Source organism: Homo sapiens, chromosome 22, assembly GCF_000001405.40.
Source record: "Homo sapiens chromosome 22, GRCh38.p14 Primary Assembly".
NCBI lineage: Eukaryota > Metazoa > Chordata > Mammalia > Primates > Hominidae > Homo > Homo sapiens.
In genome coordinates, this window is record NC_000022.11 from 49,425,996 (window position 1) to 49,443,195 (window position 17,200).

Below are 17,200 nucleotides of genomic sequence, written 5' to 3' on the forward strand. Positions count from 1 at the left end.
AGTTAAAATAAATCATGAGAAACATTGAAAGAACTCCTTCTGGGACTTTGGAAGTAAGAATTTCCAGCTTTCTCTGCTGATGGAAACTGCCTGAGATGAATTCTGTATCCTGAGGACAATCTAATTTTCCAGCAGAAAGCAAGAGTGTTCATTTCTCTATTCTTCTTCTTAGAAAAAAAAAAATCATTCTAAGCTTTTATTTTAATTCCCTCCAGGAAAACAAAGTGAAAAAAAAACATTGCTTCTGGGCCGTCTGTGTTCCTCCTGCACCCCCCGCCTCCCGGCTTGGATTGGCAAAGCTACTGAGGCATGAAAATTCGCCCAGCGCCTGCAGAAGTGGCTTCAGCACCAACCCTTGTTAGACGCAGGTGGCTGAGTTTTAACTTTTAAAATATTCTCTCTGCTTTTTCAAGCATCACATTTTCTCCCAATCACCCACATTGATACGAATTTGCACCTGAGGCTGAGTCTATGTGTTATATGCCCAGGCTTCCCAGAAAGTCGTCCTCAAATTCTCTATAGATGCAGGTTTGCCTGGGCTGGAAATTGGTGGTCCCATCTTGAGTATGTGTGGTAGGCATGTATGCAGATCGTGTGTGTGTGTGTGTGTGTGTGTGTGTGTGTGTGTGTGTGTGTGTGTATTTATTTTAAGAAACTGGCTTATGCAGTTATGGAGGCTGACAAGGTTGAAATCTGTAGGGCAGGCCAGTGGGCTGGAGATTTGGGCAGAGCATCTGTGTTAGTCTCGAGGCAGAATTCCATCTCCTCCAGGAAATCTGTTTTGCTCTCAAGGCCACTAGCTGACCAGGTGAGGTCCCCCACATGCTCAAGGGCCACCCACTTAAGGTCAGCTGTTGTGGCTGTGAAGCATATCTACACAACACCTTCAGAGCACTGTCCAAACTGGTGTTTGTGCAAACAACTGGGCACCACAGCGTAGCCAAGCGGACACATAAAATCAGCAGTCTTATATGGACGTGTGTCCGTGTGTATGTGTGTGTGCATGTGTGTCTGTGTGTGCATGTGTTCATCCATGTATGTGTGTGCATGTGTGTATGCATGTATGTAATGTGTCCATGTGTGTGTGTGCGTATGTGTGCATGTGTCCATGTATGTGTGCACGTGCGTCTCTGCACATCTGTGTGCATTTCTATATGTGTAGGTGTGTGTGTGCGTGCATGCATGTGTATGCATATGTGTGTGTCCATGTGTGTATGCATGCATTCATGCATGTGTGCATCTGTGGGTGCACATATACAAGTGTATATAATTCTGCCCCAGGTTGGCTGACCTGGCATTTTCCCTTCATGGTGACTGCAACCTTGTTAGCCATGACTCAGTTCCTTCTGTGAAGAGTGAGAGCTTCATGGCATGAGGCCTGGGACAGGTGTCCCTGGCTATTCTGCATCCAGTCCATCTTTCTGAAAAACAACATCATGGCAGCGTTGGTCCCGTTCAGGGGCTCACCAGAAGCCTCACTCCAGCTGGGCCACGAGTGTCAGGACAGGAGGTCCCCATCCAAGCCCCACACTCACCACTGGCCCAGCCTTCTGCAGTGGGTCTGGGGTTGTGGCTCCCAGCCCTGGGGACATCAGGAGCATGGAGTTCAGCTTCACCAATTCATGCTGGATCTTCTGACTGGGTGTCCACCATTTTCCCTTAGACCCCCCCCACCTACCTGCCGGTACCCCCTACTTGGGCCCACACCACAGACTCTGTGTAAATCTGTGCCTCTCTTCCTACCGGGGTGGGGGATCCTTCACCTGACCCACTGCATTGGCCTGAGTAGAATCTAAGCTCCTGAGCTGTACCCTGTGAAGGCATGCTAGCATCCTCGCCTCAGCCCAAAAACTATCTTCTCAACCAATGAGGAGCCCCTCCCAGCCCCTGGCTCCTCACAGTTGGTCCTCACCTGGGGCCACCCTCCACATCTCAGAAGCTCCCCGACCCTTCAGTCCAAGCTCTTTCTGTCTCTCAACTTTAACCTCTCACACTAAGGGATGGTCCCATCAGGAATAGGGTTTCTTTTGTACCATCCTCTTTAAGATCGATGTAAAAAGAAGGCGTGGAACTTCCAGAAACCCGGGCTGCCTGCTGGCCCCACCTGCTCCTCTTTGCCACCTCCCTTCACCACTGGCTCAGGGAAGCGTGGAGCCGCTGCTGGACCGCTGTGGCTGAGCTTGTCACATGCCATGCCTGGTTTCATCACGGAATTCTCAGATAGACATGCGGAGGCTCCATGTTCACTTGCAAATCAGGAAGCTGAGGCTCAGGGTGTATTCAAATGGGGCAATATTTTTATAACATACAGGATCATTTATGATCAACATTCCTTTTTGTTATTTTTTCTTGAGACGGAGTGTCATTCTTATCACCCAGGCTAGAGTGCAGTGGCACAATCTCAGCTCACTGCAACCTCTGCCTCCCCGGTTCAAGCAATTCTCCTGCCTCAGCCTCTCAAGTAGCTGGGATTACAGACGCGGGCCACCACGCCCAGCTAATTTTTGTATTTTTAGTAGAGACAGGGTGTCACCATATTGGTCAGGCTGGTCTCGAACTCCTGACCTCAGGTGATCCAGCCACCTTGGCCTCCCAAAGTGCTGGGATTACAGGCATGAGCCACCACACCTGGCTTTTTTTTGGGGGGTGGGGGGTGCTTTTTCAGACAGAGTCTTCCTCTGTTTCCCAGGCTGGAGTGCGGTGGTGCGATCTTGGCTCACTGCAACCTCCACTTCCCGGGTTCAAGTGATTCTCCTGCTTCAGCTTCCCAAGTAGCTGGGATTACAAGTGTAGACCATCGTGCCTGGCTAATTTTTGTATTTTTTAGTAGAGACAGGATTTCACCATATATTGTCCAGGCTGGTCTTGAACTCATGACCTCAGGTGATTTGCCCACCTCGGCCTCCCAAAGTGCTGGGATTACAGGCGTTGAGCCATCGCGCCTGGCCTATGATCAACACTAACAAGCAATTATGGTAATAGGGACATTCTAAAATTATAGGAATTAAGGCAGTGGGGTATGAACTTAGAGACAAAGAGATCCTAACAGAAGCCTCAAAAATAGATCCACACATGTATGGAAACAACATTAGTGGTGTTATAGAAATATTATGGCTGAGACAATTGACTGAAAAATTTAAAATAAAGAAACAGGTGAATGCAAAACCGTTCATCAGGTCCTGAGGAAGAAACGCTGTGTGTTTGTCACAGCTCCCCTGCTGGGACACAGGGAGACTGCATTTCCCAGCTCTCCTTCCCTCCAACTGGGGGCCACGTGGCTGAGTTTTTGGCTCCTGGAGCGTAGGTGGAAATGCTTCCCATTCTAACCCTGAGAACGCCTGTTCCACCTCCAGCCTCAGCTCTGGTGACTGTCCTTCGGAGGAACATATTTAAGATGGCAGCATGGGGGCCCAGGAGCAGCCTGAATCCCCGAGTCACCACCTGTCTGCAGAGCTCTGAGGGCAGCCCCCAGCCCACACCAGGGTGTGAGACTCCTGGGAGGTAACATCTCTGCCACTGAGATTCCTGCTGTCCTTTTACTTTCCCCCAGCAACACAGAATATCCTGCCCTGATTAATCGTACCCCTGCCTCACCATCCACAGGAAGCACTTCCAGGTACGTTATGTCCTGGAGTGAAAAAGGAGAACTTGTAAGAATGTAGTAAAAAATACAGTTATGCTAACACTGTGAAACCCCATTTTTATTAAAAAATACAACAAAATTAGCTAGGCGTGGTGGCGGGCGCCTTTAGTCCCAGCTAATTGGGAGGCTGAGGCAGGAGAATGGCATGAACCCGGGAGGCAGAGGTTGCAGTGAGCCAAGATTGCACCACTGCAATCCAGCCTGGGCGACAGAGCAAGACTCCGTCTCAAAAAAAAAAAATACAGTTATACATCCAAATGACACAGGTTAGAGAAAGTTCTCCTTTTTCAAAATTGTTTCGCTACTCTAGATCCTTGACATCACCGTAAATGTTTTAATACCAGCTTTTTAATTTCTATTTTGTGTTTTGGGGTTTTTTTAGACAGAGTTTTGCTCTTGTTGCCCAGACTGGAGTGCAGTGGCGTTATCTCAGCTCACTGCAACCTCCGCCTCCCAGGTTCAAGTGATTCTCCTGCCTCAGCCTCCTGAGTAGCTGGGATTACAGGCGCCCGCCACCATGCCCAGCTAATTTTTGTATTTTTAGTAGAGACGGGGTTTCACCATGTTGGCCAGGCTGGTCTCGAACTCCTGACCTCAGGTGATCTACTGCCCTGGCCTCCCAAAGTGCTGGGACTACAGGCATGAGCCACTGCACCCCGGCCTCTATTTCGTTTTTAAAAAGACTATCAGGATAAGTAAATTTGGAAAGAAGAGTTATCTTGCAAATATTTACTCTCCCAACCCATACATGTGCCATACATCTATTCCCATACCTTTAGCTCTTATTTAATTTCACTCAGCAGAGTTTTTTAGCTTTCAGTGTAAACAGCTGGGATAGCTTTCACACAATTGATTCCTAAATACATTTTTCCTGCTATTGTAAATGGATTTTTTATTTCACTTTCCAGTTGTTCATTGTTCTTTTACACAATTATGACAATTTTTGCATGTTGACCTTGTTACTATGCTTATAATTTTTCTGTAGATTTGTTAGAATTTTCTGCATACACAATCATGTCACCTGCAAACAGAGAAAATGTTACTTCTTCTCTTGCTATATAAATGCATTTTAATTATTGTTCTTGCCTCGATGCTCTCTCTAGAACCTCCAGTGCACTGCTAAATAGGTGTGAGTGAACATTCTTCACTTTTTCCTGATCTTGAGACAAAACAATTAATGTCACAATATTTGGTGTGGTGTCACTTGTATAATATAGATACATGATTATCTATATACACTATACATCTATACATAGAGATGATTTTCATCAGGAGGAAATTTTGTTCTATCTTATTTGGCTGAGTTTTGTCATGAATAAGTGTTAAATTTTGTCAAATTATTATTCTTCATCTATTAATAACATGTTATGGTTTTCTCCTGTATTCTGTTAATAAGTAAATGGCAGTGATTAGTTTTTGAATGTTGAATCCACCTCGCAGGGCCTCCCTTGGTCCCAGTCTGTTTTTTTATTGTTATAATCTTTTTTTAAAAATTATACTTTAAGTTCTGGGGTACATGTGCAGAACATGCAGGTTTGTAACATAGGTATACAAGTGCCGTGGTGGTTTGCTGCACCCATCAATCGTCATCTACAGTAAGTAGTCTTTATTATGGCTTTGTAGACTGCCAGGTTCTGTTTGCTAATGTTTTGCAGAGCATTCTTCCACACATATCCACGGAGAACATTTGTCATTTTCTCTTCTCGTTATGACTTTCTTGAGTGTGGTGTCATGGTGTTGCTAACCTCATAAAAAGAACTGACTGGCCAGGCACGGTGGCTCACGCCTGTAATCCCAGCACTTTGGGAGGCTGAGGAGGGCAGAGCACAAGATCAGGAGATCAAGACCATCATGATCAACACGGGAAACCCTGTCTCTACTAAAAATACAAAAATTAGCCAGGCGTGGTGGCAGTCACATGCAGTCCCAGCTACTTGGGAGACTGAGGCAGGAGAATGGCTTGAACCCGAGAAGTGGAGGTTGCAGTGAGCCAAGATAGCACCACTGCACTCCAGCCTGGGTGACAGAGCGGGACTCCATCTCAAAAAAAAAAAAAAAAATCTGGGAAGTGTTACTTCCTCTTCCATTTGGGGGAAGTGTTGTGTAGAACTGGTGTGATTTTTTCCTGACTTCTTGTTTTTCAGAATTCACAAGTAAAAACCTGTGTCTCTGTGGTTTCCCTTTGGAGAAGGTTTACAATTTATTTCTTTAATAGATAATCAAGCTCTCCAGAACTTATGTTTATTCTTCAGCCATGTCTTACATTGTTAGACATTTATACAATTTATTAATACTGTCACAGAAATTTTTCTATTGTTGTTTTATTGTATTTTTTCTATTAGTTTTTTTACACCATCAACTTATAGCTCATATTTTATCATTGATTTTTTTCACTCCTTTAAGTTGCTTTTCTATCTGCTTATGTTCAAAAGTCAGATTACCAATCTTAAATTTTCTTCTTTTCTAATATAAGCAATTAAAGCTATAAGATTTCCTCCAAGCCCGATTTATCTGCATCCCCAAAATGTTACATATGCTCAAGAGATTAAAAGAAAAGACATCGGAATAATTAGAGAAACCATGGCCTTGAGGAGGACGTGCATGGAGAGGTTCCACAAAGGAAAGCAAACAGCAAAAAACGATCGACTGGACTCTTAGATTCTAGCGCCCTGATCCCACCTGGACCTCAGCTTGACCGCCGCCCTTGGCAACTCCTGGGGAGGAGACAGCACCTCCTGTGCTCCCCTCGGCTCCACCCTTCGGAGGCAGCGACATCCACACAAGTGGAGAAATGGCTCCTTGGGAACCACTTGGCACTGGCAGGAAATTGCATGTTTAGAATAAATGCTATATATTAAAGTTACTTAGAAAGTTGTCAGGAGAACGGAGGCCTGAGAGGGGGGTGTTCTGGGGCAGGTGTGCTGTCGCTGGGGCTTGCTATTTCTTTGTTCCTTGTTTGCCTTTGAGCCCATGTGAAATTCCCGGCGGGGGAAGAGAGGCTGAGCTCCCCGCCTGCCCCTGCCTCAGCACTGGCCCTGGGCTGGCCTCCTCCAGGTCCCATCCCCAGCCTGCAGCCTACACACTCTGTCTGGGTCCCTCTTCACAAAGCAACCCTGGAAAGGCGGGCACTAGGGAACTCAGCCTCCCAACGGCCCCAGGGGCGTGAAGCTGCCTCCATGTGCCTTTAACGTCCATGTCCCAGCCTGACAGACACAGATGCGTACTCCCATTTGTTCTCTAGGTCATAACTATAATCACCACTGCTTTGCTAATTAATGCAAATTGCAAGCGTTCCTATTGGAAACAAGCGTTCTGGCTTTTTTCAGTGGCCATCCATCTTCCAGGTTTGCCTCTGTGACCTCCCAGGGCTGCGGACAATTCTCCCAGGGGGTAGCAGCCATCCATCCGCCCTCTCCCTGCCCGGGAGCTGAGGCAGCGACCATCCATCTGCCCTCTCCCTGCCGGGGAGAGGGAGTTGGGGCAGCGGCTGTCCATCCACCCTCTCCCTGTCTGGGAAGGTCACCAGTACTGCCCCATCATGAGAAATGCCGGGGAGCTGAGGCAGTGGCCATCCATCCGCCCTCTCCCTGCCGGGAAGCTGAGGCAGTGGCTGTCCATCCACCCTCTCCCTGCTGGGGAAGGTCACCAGTACTACTCCATCATGAGAAATGCCAGGGAGCTGAGGCAGCAGCTGTCCATCCACCCTCTCCCTGCTGGGGAAGGTCACCAGTACTGCCCCATCATGAGAAATGCCGGGGAGCTGAGCAGTGGCCGTCCATCCGCCCTCTCCCTGCCGGGAAGCAGAGGCAGTGGCTGTCCATCCACCCTCTCCCTGCTGGGGAAGGTCACCAGTACTGCCCCACCATGAGAAATGCCGGGGAGCTGAGGCAGCGGCCGTCCATCCGCCCTCTCCCTGCCGGGAAGCAGAGGCAGTGGCTGTCCATCCGCCCTCTCCCTGCTGGGGAAGGTCACCAGTACTGCCCCATCATGAGAAATGCCGGGGAGTTGAGAGGGTGAAAGCCAATGGGATGGACTTGGGTGGCCTCTCCACAGGTGTCCCGCACCTGGGGTCTTGGATCTAAGCGGGGGCACCAGGCCTTCCTCAGTTTCTGTGGATTGGCGCTGCACACAGGGGCTGACATCTCCAAGGGCTCAGGGCCAGTAGAGGGTGGTGGTTGGTCAGCCACCGTGGGGGAGGACGGAAGACGAAGGCTGGACGAGAATCGTTTTGCAGCTCAGCATCAGGGAAGAGCTGGCTCCTGCTCGCCCAACCCCCTGCTAGCCTCCTGGCCGTGGGTACGTCCTCAGTCCTCAGCACCGGCCAGGAGTGAGCCGGCGGCACTGCTGGAGGGCTCAGGGCACAGCTGAGTCCGTGTCATTCTCATCCTCAGAGGTCCTCAGATGAGCCGTTCTCCACGTCTGTGACCATCCTCACGGGGCAGATGAGGAAGCTGAGACGCAGACCCCAGGACGGATGAGAAAGAATCCAGTTCTTGGCTTTGTGGCTGGCGCACTGGTGTCCTCCAGGCACTTCAGGAAGCCGGAGAACAAATCACAAATCCACCTCCCACCTGGATCTGTCCCGGCAACCCTGGTCCTCAGACAGGCTGAGGCGGGCAGAGCTCGCCCGAGGCAGCCTCAGGAAGAGGGAAACTGGGCACATCCTCCCCAGCCCCGCTCTCTAGGGCAGTGTGGCCGCCAGGTGGCACAACCGGCTGAAGCTGTCCTCGTCACAGGAGCTTGGAGCCCCATCCCACAGCCTCCTCACACGTCCCCCATGGGAGCTGCTCCTGTCCTAATAACCTGCACCAATAACCAAGCGAGAACAAGGAGAAGTGACACCTGCAGAGTGTGCTGAGGGCATCGCACTGGGATGGTCGTCGCCCTTCCGTGAAGTCCCATGGAGGTTCCCATGAGGCGAGCCTGGCGGGTTTGGGATGGTCCCAGAGTGGAAGGGCTTCTGTGTTTGGGTTTTGTTGGGCTTTGACTGATGACTACAATTCACTCGTTAAAGGCTGAATCTAGAGAAGGGATTCCGGCAAAGCCCACGTGCGTTTGGCAGGGCAGCGGGTGGGTCAGTGAAGCCCAGAGGGGCAATGGGTCAGAGGCCTCCACAGCTCTGTGATGTGCTTTTATTTCAGCAACTGTGTTTTTGTTCCCATGATCTTTCATTGGCTTTTTTCAAAGTTACTTGTTCTTGTTTCGTGGATGGAGTGCAATTATAGTGACCACATTTCAGGCACTATTCTAAGTGCTGTGCAGATAACTATCAACTCACTCGACCCTCAGGAAACCATGCATTAGAATCCATTACCAGAACTTGGCTGGGCACAGTGGCTCATGCCTGTAATCCCAGCAGTTTGGGAGGCCGAGGCAGGCAGATCACCTGAGGTCAGGAGTTTGAGACCAGCCTGGCCAACATGCCAAAACCCCATTTCAACCAGAAATACAAAAAATTAGCCAGGCGTGGTGGCGGTCGCCTGTAATCCCAGCTACTTGAGAAGCCGAGGCAGGAGAATCGCTTGAACCCGGGAGGCAGAAGTTGCAGTGAGCTGATATCGCGCCATTGCACTCCAGCTAGGGCAACAAGTGAAACTCCATCTCAAAAAAAAAAAAAAAAAAAGAATCCATTACCAGAACTTTAGACTCAAGGAAACAGACACAGGCGAGTGAACTGGATTTTCTGAGTCAGGAGAGGCCTTTCCTCCTCGTTCTGGGGGCACCGATTACAATTCCCTTAAGATGCTTCAGCAGAAATGTCCCGCCTTAAACAGAGGTGCCCAGGGGTATAAATTCCCTTTTTAATTTGATGTGTGCAATTTATCATCGCAGGATTTCTCACAAAACCCTCGGTCTGTCAAGAACCCCCTTCTTTGCTGTAAGCACAGTCATGTATACGCACCTTACAGGCTTCCGAGAGCTGCCTGTCATGTCAGGAATACAGACATGGGAGGGAAAGCCTGCAGCGCCCACATGGACTCAAGTCAGGTGACATCAATTCCTTTAGCGGAGTGTCTGCAGGAATTGGCCCCACTGGACACCCTGTGAGCCCATCTCGCTGAGGCCCAAGCTGACACCGCGTTCAGCATGCCTGGCTTCCAGCAGGTGGACGCCCTGTGATCCGTGCTGACTGTGTGACCCGTGCTGTGTGATCCATGCTGGCCATGTGACCCATGCTGGCCGTGTGACCCATGCTGGCCGTGTGACCCATGCTGGTGCTTCGCTTCCCTTGGATAGAAACCATTTCTCCACAGACTGTCCTCACCAAGCAAGTCCTGCTTGTTGCCTAAGTTGGCTGCCATGCCCCTGCTGGTTTCTGTGTCCATAACTCGCCTTCCTCACCCATGCCCGTACCTCCACCATCAGGGAGACCGACCGCACCCTGAGCCCCTGCCTCGCCTTGTTGCTGCTCACAGGACCTCAAGCAACGAATTCTTCTCTGTGTAAAATATGACTCTTCACACACATTCGTTTTTAAATTATCATTCAAAATTATACCAAGCTTTGTAAAGAAAACAAACGGTGTGCATGTGGAGAGACCTGTAGGTCCCTAGAGCCACACAGCAGTGCCCATCCGCCGTGACCCCTGCCCAGTGCTCCCAGGAGCCTGCAGATGAAGCCGCTCTCGGCCACTCTCTCCCATGGACTAAGCCACTCTCAGCCACTCTCTCCCGTGGACTGGGTCATCCCAACAACACTGTGTCATCTTGACCTCACCCCAGTCCAGCCGTCATTCTCTGTCAAAGAAAGAAATTAGTCGGGTTTCACGAGGCTTAGGTCTGGGAATTTACTACTCTGCTTTAGAAAAAAGCTTCTTTTACAAGCACAATAAAAATGCAAATTAAAGTATAAATGAATCAGAAAAAAAGATCTCCATCTTTCCAAAGCATAACCCCAGTTACATTTCCCATGAACGCCTCCAAAGACCTCCTCTGAACATGTTATTAGAGCCATGAAGTTCCAGACAATTGATGGGTTTTCCTTCCGCATTAAGCTAAATAACAGCATCTTATGGGTCAACAAAAAGACGTCTGTGCCTTTTGGCTACAATTAAGATCGAGGTTGGATTTGCACTTCTCTTTAATTACTAATAGATTAATCCAAGTCTAAAAGACCATCCATAATTAGCATTTTGTTGATTGATTTGTTGCAAAGAAATGACCCTGATTATGTTCTTAGTAATCAGTTTATAGCTAATTGGCTTTCTTTCATTAAAATATAAAGAGCCATCCATAAAAAGTGGTCAAGGTGTGTGGGGATCGTAAATGGCACAGAAATGCTGTCACTCGTCAGAGGTGGCTCTCTTTGATTTTTATGGAAATCTAATTATTCAGTGAATTAAGGGATCTGACCTCCACAGGAAGGCAGTGGGTGACTTCCAGACATTGGTCACCCAAGGGGAAGGCCAAGGTTGTGTAAGATGCTGAGCAAAGATGGCACCGTTTGCAGCCACAGCGAGGAGGACTGATTTATTGTTAACAAAAATGGCAGAGTCAGTAGACAGTAATTAAAGATTTGCCGCACAGCTCAATAATCCAAAATATTCAGAGATTGCAATTAATTTCTTGGCAGTGACAATGCCTAATTAGATGTAATCCTTCTTACTCTAGATAAAAACAAAACAAAAAAATTCCCGGAGAAGCAAAGACCAGAACGGGAGAATTCATATTCTAAGCAAAGGCCAGATACACCTCTTGCTTCCCACATCTGTTTGGCTGTAAGAGTCTCCACTAAAAAATAACCTCTGTTATTATCACCTATGTGCTTTTCGATTGCGACCTGAGCGGGACCGAGTCAGGAAGTCTGATCGCATCTAAAGGAGGATGCTTGCTGGGGAGGAGTCCGTGCTGCCCTCCCTCTCTTCCCCTCAGAGGAGAAGCCACCAGGACCCCGTCCCAGTCACGACGCCAGAGCCCAGAGCTGCACGAGGATCCCAAATCCACCTGCTCGGGCACAGCTGCCAGCAGCGTGGCCCATTCCTCACGTCCAGGTGACTGTGGGCACCTTCACCGTGTCTCCCCGTTTTTTCTCACTGTTTTCATTTCCTGCCATTTTTAGTAAAGATTACCTACTGCTGCACCTCGGTGTTTCTGCTTTCCAGCGCCTGGGGTGAGAGTAGCGACACGGTCTTCTCGTACGCGTGAGGAGCCAGTGGAGGAACTCAGATGGCCAACCCCACACCTGCAGCAGGTGCGGAGGTGGAAGGCAGGAAAGAAAAGGACTCCCGCAGCCCTCCATTCCTCCCCAGAGAAATTGGCAGTTAGGAATGAATGAATGAATGAGTAGGAAAAGCAACCCAGCCCAGCTTCCTTCCTCCCACCTTTCACTATGGAAAAGCCCTCAGAGCTGCGATCCTCTGTGGCCATGGTGGCCGTGGGCTGGCCTAGTGGAGCTGGGGTGTCCCAGACAAGCAGCGTCTGCCAGGCAGACAGAGGCAGCAGACGCCCGCAGGCTCCTGGTCAGAGGCCACATAGGGCAGAAAGCATGTCCACACGGGTCCAGGACACTGGGCTCCCATGTGGGTCCTAGCGCCACTGAGGACCTCCGTCCGCACAGAGCGGGAGGCTTTCAGGGAAGCGCCTCAGCGCCCGGCTCAAATCACCCTGGACAGCAGCCTCAGAAAGGAGTTGGCCCCATTTTTCTTCTTAGTCTTTGCATTGTCTGGAATTTGGAGCCGGTGACATACGCTGAAGTCTCTCTAGCCTCCCAGAGCGCAGAGGCCGAATCCAGCAGCATTGCTGCGTTTGTGCTGTTTTTATTATGCAGTGACCTCGCGTTTATATCCAGGGATTCTTGGTTTCAGTGCTTGATGGGGAATAACAACATTTCCCATTAAGACAAATGACTTCGACTCATGAAGTGCGTGGATTTCAATGACACAAGGGGGTCCTGTCATGGGGTGTCCCTCCATGGGAGGGGAGAGGAAGGAGGAGCTGGCCTGAGGCAGAGGGTCACCAGAAGCCCCCTCTGAGACATTGACAGCCCAGTGGAGGGAGGAGGGGGTTGGCGGTATAGGAGGATGGCGGCTCCCTCTTGAGCCTCCCTGAGGCCGGCCCTAAATGGGCCTCCCTCGCCCTTCATCTTCTGTGATTCCATTTTCATTTCTATGATAAGAACATTCTTGCAGGTTTTAAAAGGTAAATACCACTTAATACAATTCTTTCTTGCTGAAACCACTGTCACGTGGGGATGTCTGTGATTCACAGCTGGGCCTCACGCAGGGCCGTGCAGGAATCTAATTGGAACTGCCGAAAATTTACATGTGCATTTAGGAGAAGTGACAGTTTTAAATTTGTGTATCCTTACCCCAAAACACGTGAGATGTTTCATTTTGTAGATATTCTCTTGGCATTTAGTAATGTCCTGTACTTCTCTTCACGTGTGCTGTGTCTTTCTGGAGAAATACTGTCCTATGTTTCTGCCTGTGTGTGTGCAAGAGAGTATATTTCTAGTTCTGTTTCTAGCACTGATTGCTAGAAGGGAGAAAACTTTTTTTTTTTTGAGACAAAGTTTCGCACTGTTGCCCAGGCTGGAGTGCAGTGGCATGATCTCGGCTCACTGCAACCTCAGCCTCCTGGGTTCAAGCGATTCTCCTGCCTCAGCCTCCCGAGTAGCTGGGATTACAGGCATGTGCCACCATACCCGGCTAATTTTGTACTTTTAGTAGAGATGGAGTTTCACCATGTTGGGCAGGCTGGTCTAGATACTCCCGACCTCAGGTGATCCACCCTCCTCGGTCTCCCAAAGTTCTGGGATTACAAGCATGAGCCACCATGCCCGGCCTATGTTTCCTTTGTATCCAGCCACGTTGCTGAATTTTCCCCTCTGAGCTCCCTCAGTTCCAGGGCACCTCCGCCTGCCCATAAGCTTCCGCAACCACCACCGCTGGAGACTAGATGGGGACCAGGAGGGATCCTCAGAGCATCTCCTGGGAGGCGGGCACCTCTCCTCCCCTTGCACGCCATTGGCCAAAGCAAGTCACATGGCCTGGCTTGTCTTTCCTGAAACACAGGACGCATGGAAGAACCAGAGATACGAGTGAGCACCAGCTATGTCCAGAATGTGGCCATTTAAATAATTTACCTTAAATGTGATTGACTTATGATCAAAGAGTGGGGTGGATCCTATCAGCATTATGGGGTTTGTTCAGGTCCATGTGTGTGTTTGTATGTGTGTGCCCACATGTGTGAAGGATTTTTGCAAATTTTTCTGTCTATATAAAAATGCACATTCTCTGCTTGAGGCATGTAAGTCTCCCTATCTAACCTCAACACATTTGTGGGTTTTTCACACAATTCTCATAAGCATTTGGTTACTTGTCTCTACAACTTTAAAATTCTAAGAGGCCAGGCACGGTGGCTCACACCTATAAATCCAACACTTTGGGAGGCCGAGGCGGGCAGATCACCTGAGGTCAGGAGTTCGAGACCAGCACGGTCAACATAATGAAACCCCATCTCTACTAAAAATACAAAAATTAGCCGGGCATGGTGGCACATGCCTGTAATCCCAGCTACTCGAACCTGGGAGGCGGAGGTTGCGGTAACCTGAGATTGCACCACTGTACTCCAGCCCGGGTGACAGAGCAAGACTCCACCTCAAAAAATAAAAAATAAAATTCTAAGATAGATGCATTGAAATGGCACGTTGGATTTTTCTCCGGACCTTCTTCTCGTGCGTACAACAGTTCTCACTTCATGCACTTCCCTGCCAGCCTTTTGACCACAGTCACCAGGTTTATGTTTTATTGATATACAAGCAGCCATTCTATTCAATGGAATTATTTTAACCTTAGATTCTACATTGTCTAACGATAATTTTCACTTCTTACTTGTTGGGTGTGTATTTCTCTGGCTGTATCCTTGCAGATCCTTTTATTATTTCTCCGAGTCAATTACTAATGATGTATGTCTGACATATTCACAAAACGGTGCCTGCAAGGTACAGCTCAGTGAACTTTCACCCAGCAGGACGCACGTGTCACCAGATTAATAAAGAGAACATTACCGAGTCCTGAAGTCCTTCCTGTCCTCTGCACACGCCCAGAGATAACTGCAATCTTAGCTTTTATCAACGCATTCGTTTTTGCACATTACATAAATAGAATCGTAAAGTACTTTGTATTTTCTAGTTAGTTCCTTTTGCACATTTTCTTTGCGAGGTTCATCTGCATTGTTGAGAGTAGTTGCAGAGGGTTCATTTGGGTTGCCAGATAACATTTCATCCTGAATACTTACCCGTTTCCAAGTTATCGATCTTTTTTACCATAGACGGGTATTGCGGCCGTTTCCCTTTTCCGTCGTGAGGAAGAGCAGAGCCGTGACATCCCTGTGAGCATCTTTCAGGGAGTGTGCAGGCCTTTCTGTGGGCTGTGCTCCCCATGATTGGGCGGAATCGTAGAGCACGTATGTCAACGTCGCTGGGTAACTTCCACAGGTTTTCCACCGTGCTAGTACCGTCTCCTTCTCCCACCAGCACCGCGTCTGCGCTCCTTCCTCCCACGTCCTGTCCGGCGCTGGACGTTGTCTCTGTAAGGCTTGTCTCTCCTTCCGTGCTGTCTCCGACCCGTGGCACCTGCCAGGGACAAAGCCTCTGCTGAATCGGTCCTCCCTATGCCATTTATAACCAACGGTTGAAGTGGAGGAAAACAGAATAATGAAAAGTACTTGTTCATCCAAAAGACTGCAAGACGAGGAGAGGAAAAGTAAGATAAATGATGTAGGGAAGCAGAAAATAAAGAATCCATTGACAATTAGAACACAAATATTTTAGAAATGAAATTAAATGTTCAGTTAAAGATTGTTAGTTGAAAATAAATACATAAAACATGCATAAAATTTATACAATTTTGTTATAGGAACACAGAAAAATTAAAATACTATATGAAAATAGAAAAAATGCATATCATATAAACACTAACCAAGAGAACGCCGGTATAGCCCAATTAATGTCAGACAAAATAGGTTTTAAGGCAAGAAACATTAATGAGAAAAGAAACATGTTGTATTAATAACAAAACGTTATTAATAAAAACAAAAATATTAGTCTACCAGAAATATATAACAGAACTCCAAATGCTGACATCTAACCAAAGATTATCAAAATTCATAAATAAAAAATGATGAAACTAAAAGGAGAACCAATGAATCAATAATTATAGTGAGAATACTTAACAAGCTGCTCTCAGTAATTGAAATAAAAATAATTCATGATATAGTCCAGGGATCAGCAAACCAAGACCCATGGGTCAAACTGCCTTCCCTCTATTTTTGTAAATAAATCTGTATTGAAACCCAGCAATATCCATTCACTTGTGTGTTTTCTATGGCCGATTTTGCATAGCAGCCACCATATTTATTATTTGGCTCTTTACAGAAAGTTTGCCGACCTTGATAAAGACCTAAACACACAAACAACGAACTGCCCCTATTGATCCCTGTTGGTGACAGACATGGCGCTATGCCCGGCAGCAGAGTCGTGGGTGTAATTGTTGCTGTTGTTGGTGTTGGTGTTGTTTTGAGACAGGGTTTTGCTCTGTCACCCGGGCTGGAGTACAATGGCGCCATCTTGGCTCGCTTCAACCTCCAGCTCCCTGGTTCAAGCAATTCTCCTGCCTCAGCCTCCTGAGTAGCTGGGACTACAGGCACGCACCACCACGCCCAGCTAATTTTTGTATTTGTAGTAGAGACGGGGTTTCACCATATTGGCCAAGATGGTCTCAATCTCCTGACCTCGTGATCTGCTCCCTGTGGCCTCCCAAAATGTTGAGATTACAGGCGTGAGCCACCGTGCATGGCCAAGTCGTGTTCTTGTCAAAGCATAGTAAATATTTACTCAATATTTACCAAAATTGACTACATGTTGTACCATTAAAAAGTCTCTTCCAATTCAAAAGATTTAAATCATTCTAAGTATGTTTTCTGACCACAGCAGAATTCATCCAGAAAGCCATATGTTAAAGATAACTATAAAACTTTAAAGTGTTTGGAAATTAAACACTACACTACTAAGTCACACATAGTTCAAGGAAGAAATCATCAAGAAATTAGAAAATATTTTAAATTAATGATAAAATTCTCCATGAAAAACTTGTGGGTGCAGCCGGAACCCCGATTAGAGGGAATTCGATCCTGAAGTACTACGTTACCAAAGATTGAAGGCTACAAGGCAGTTATCCAGCTTTGTATCTCAAATAGTAGAAAATATTAGTTCAATCCTGAAGTACTACGTCACCAAAGATTGAAGGCTACAAGGCAGTTATCCAGCTTTGTATCTCAAATAGTAGAAAATATTAGTTCAATCCTGAAGTACTATGTTACCAAAGATTGAAGGCTACAAGGCAGTTATCCAGCTTTGTATCTCAAATAGTAGAAAATATTAGCAAATTATACCTAAAAGAATGGAGTGGGAAGGGAGTAAGAAAGATGTGAGTAGTTCTCAATACTTTAGAAAACGATCACACAGCAGGGAAAACCAACCTAGCCAAACACTAGCTCCCCGAGAAGCCTCCTTCAAAGTATCACCCCCTACCAAGACCGACAGGAATACAAAGACAAC

General features: G+C 47.7%; 1 long non-coding RNA gene across 2 annotated transcripts in view, besides 2 other annotated features; it reads right to left on the minus strand.

Annotated features, from left to right (window-relative positions):
- MIR3667HG (MIR3667 host gene) overlaps positions 1-17,200 on the minus strand; it is a 242,996-nt gene that overhangs the window by 11,472 nt on the left and 214,324 nt on the right. Inside the window, exon 2 of one of the 2 annotated variants that reach the window (NR_110523.2) lies at positions 14,881-15,217. The exons of the other annotated variant lie outside the window; for it this stretch is intronic. This is a non-coding gene — a long non-coding RNA (MIR3667 host gene). The remainder of the gene's footprint in view (positions 1-14,880; positions 15,218-17,200) is intronic. 2 annotated transcript variants of the gene reach the window in all.
- Positions 6,559-7,442: an enhancer, noted in NCBI's record as "H3K4me1 hESC enhancer chr22:49826203-49827086 (GRCh37/hg19 assembly coordinates)". NCBI's record gives its function as "activates a minimal SCP1, AML or CMV promoter by ChIP-STARR-seq in primed H9 embryonic stem cells {active_cell/tissue: H9 hESC(primed)}" and the evidence as "EXISTENCE:reporter gene assay evidence [ECO:0000049][PMID:30033119]".
- Positions 7,443-8,325: an enhancer, noted in NCBI's record as "H3K4me1 hESC enhancer chr22:49827087-49827969 (GRCh37/hg19 assembly coordinates)". NCBI's record gives its function as "activates a minimal SCP1, AML or CMV promoter by ChIP-STARR-seq in primed H9 embryonic stem cells {active_cell/tissue: H9 hESC(primed)}" and the evidence as "EXISTENCE:reporter gene assay evidence [ECO:0000049][PMID:30033119]".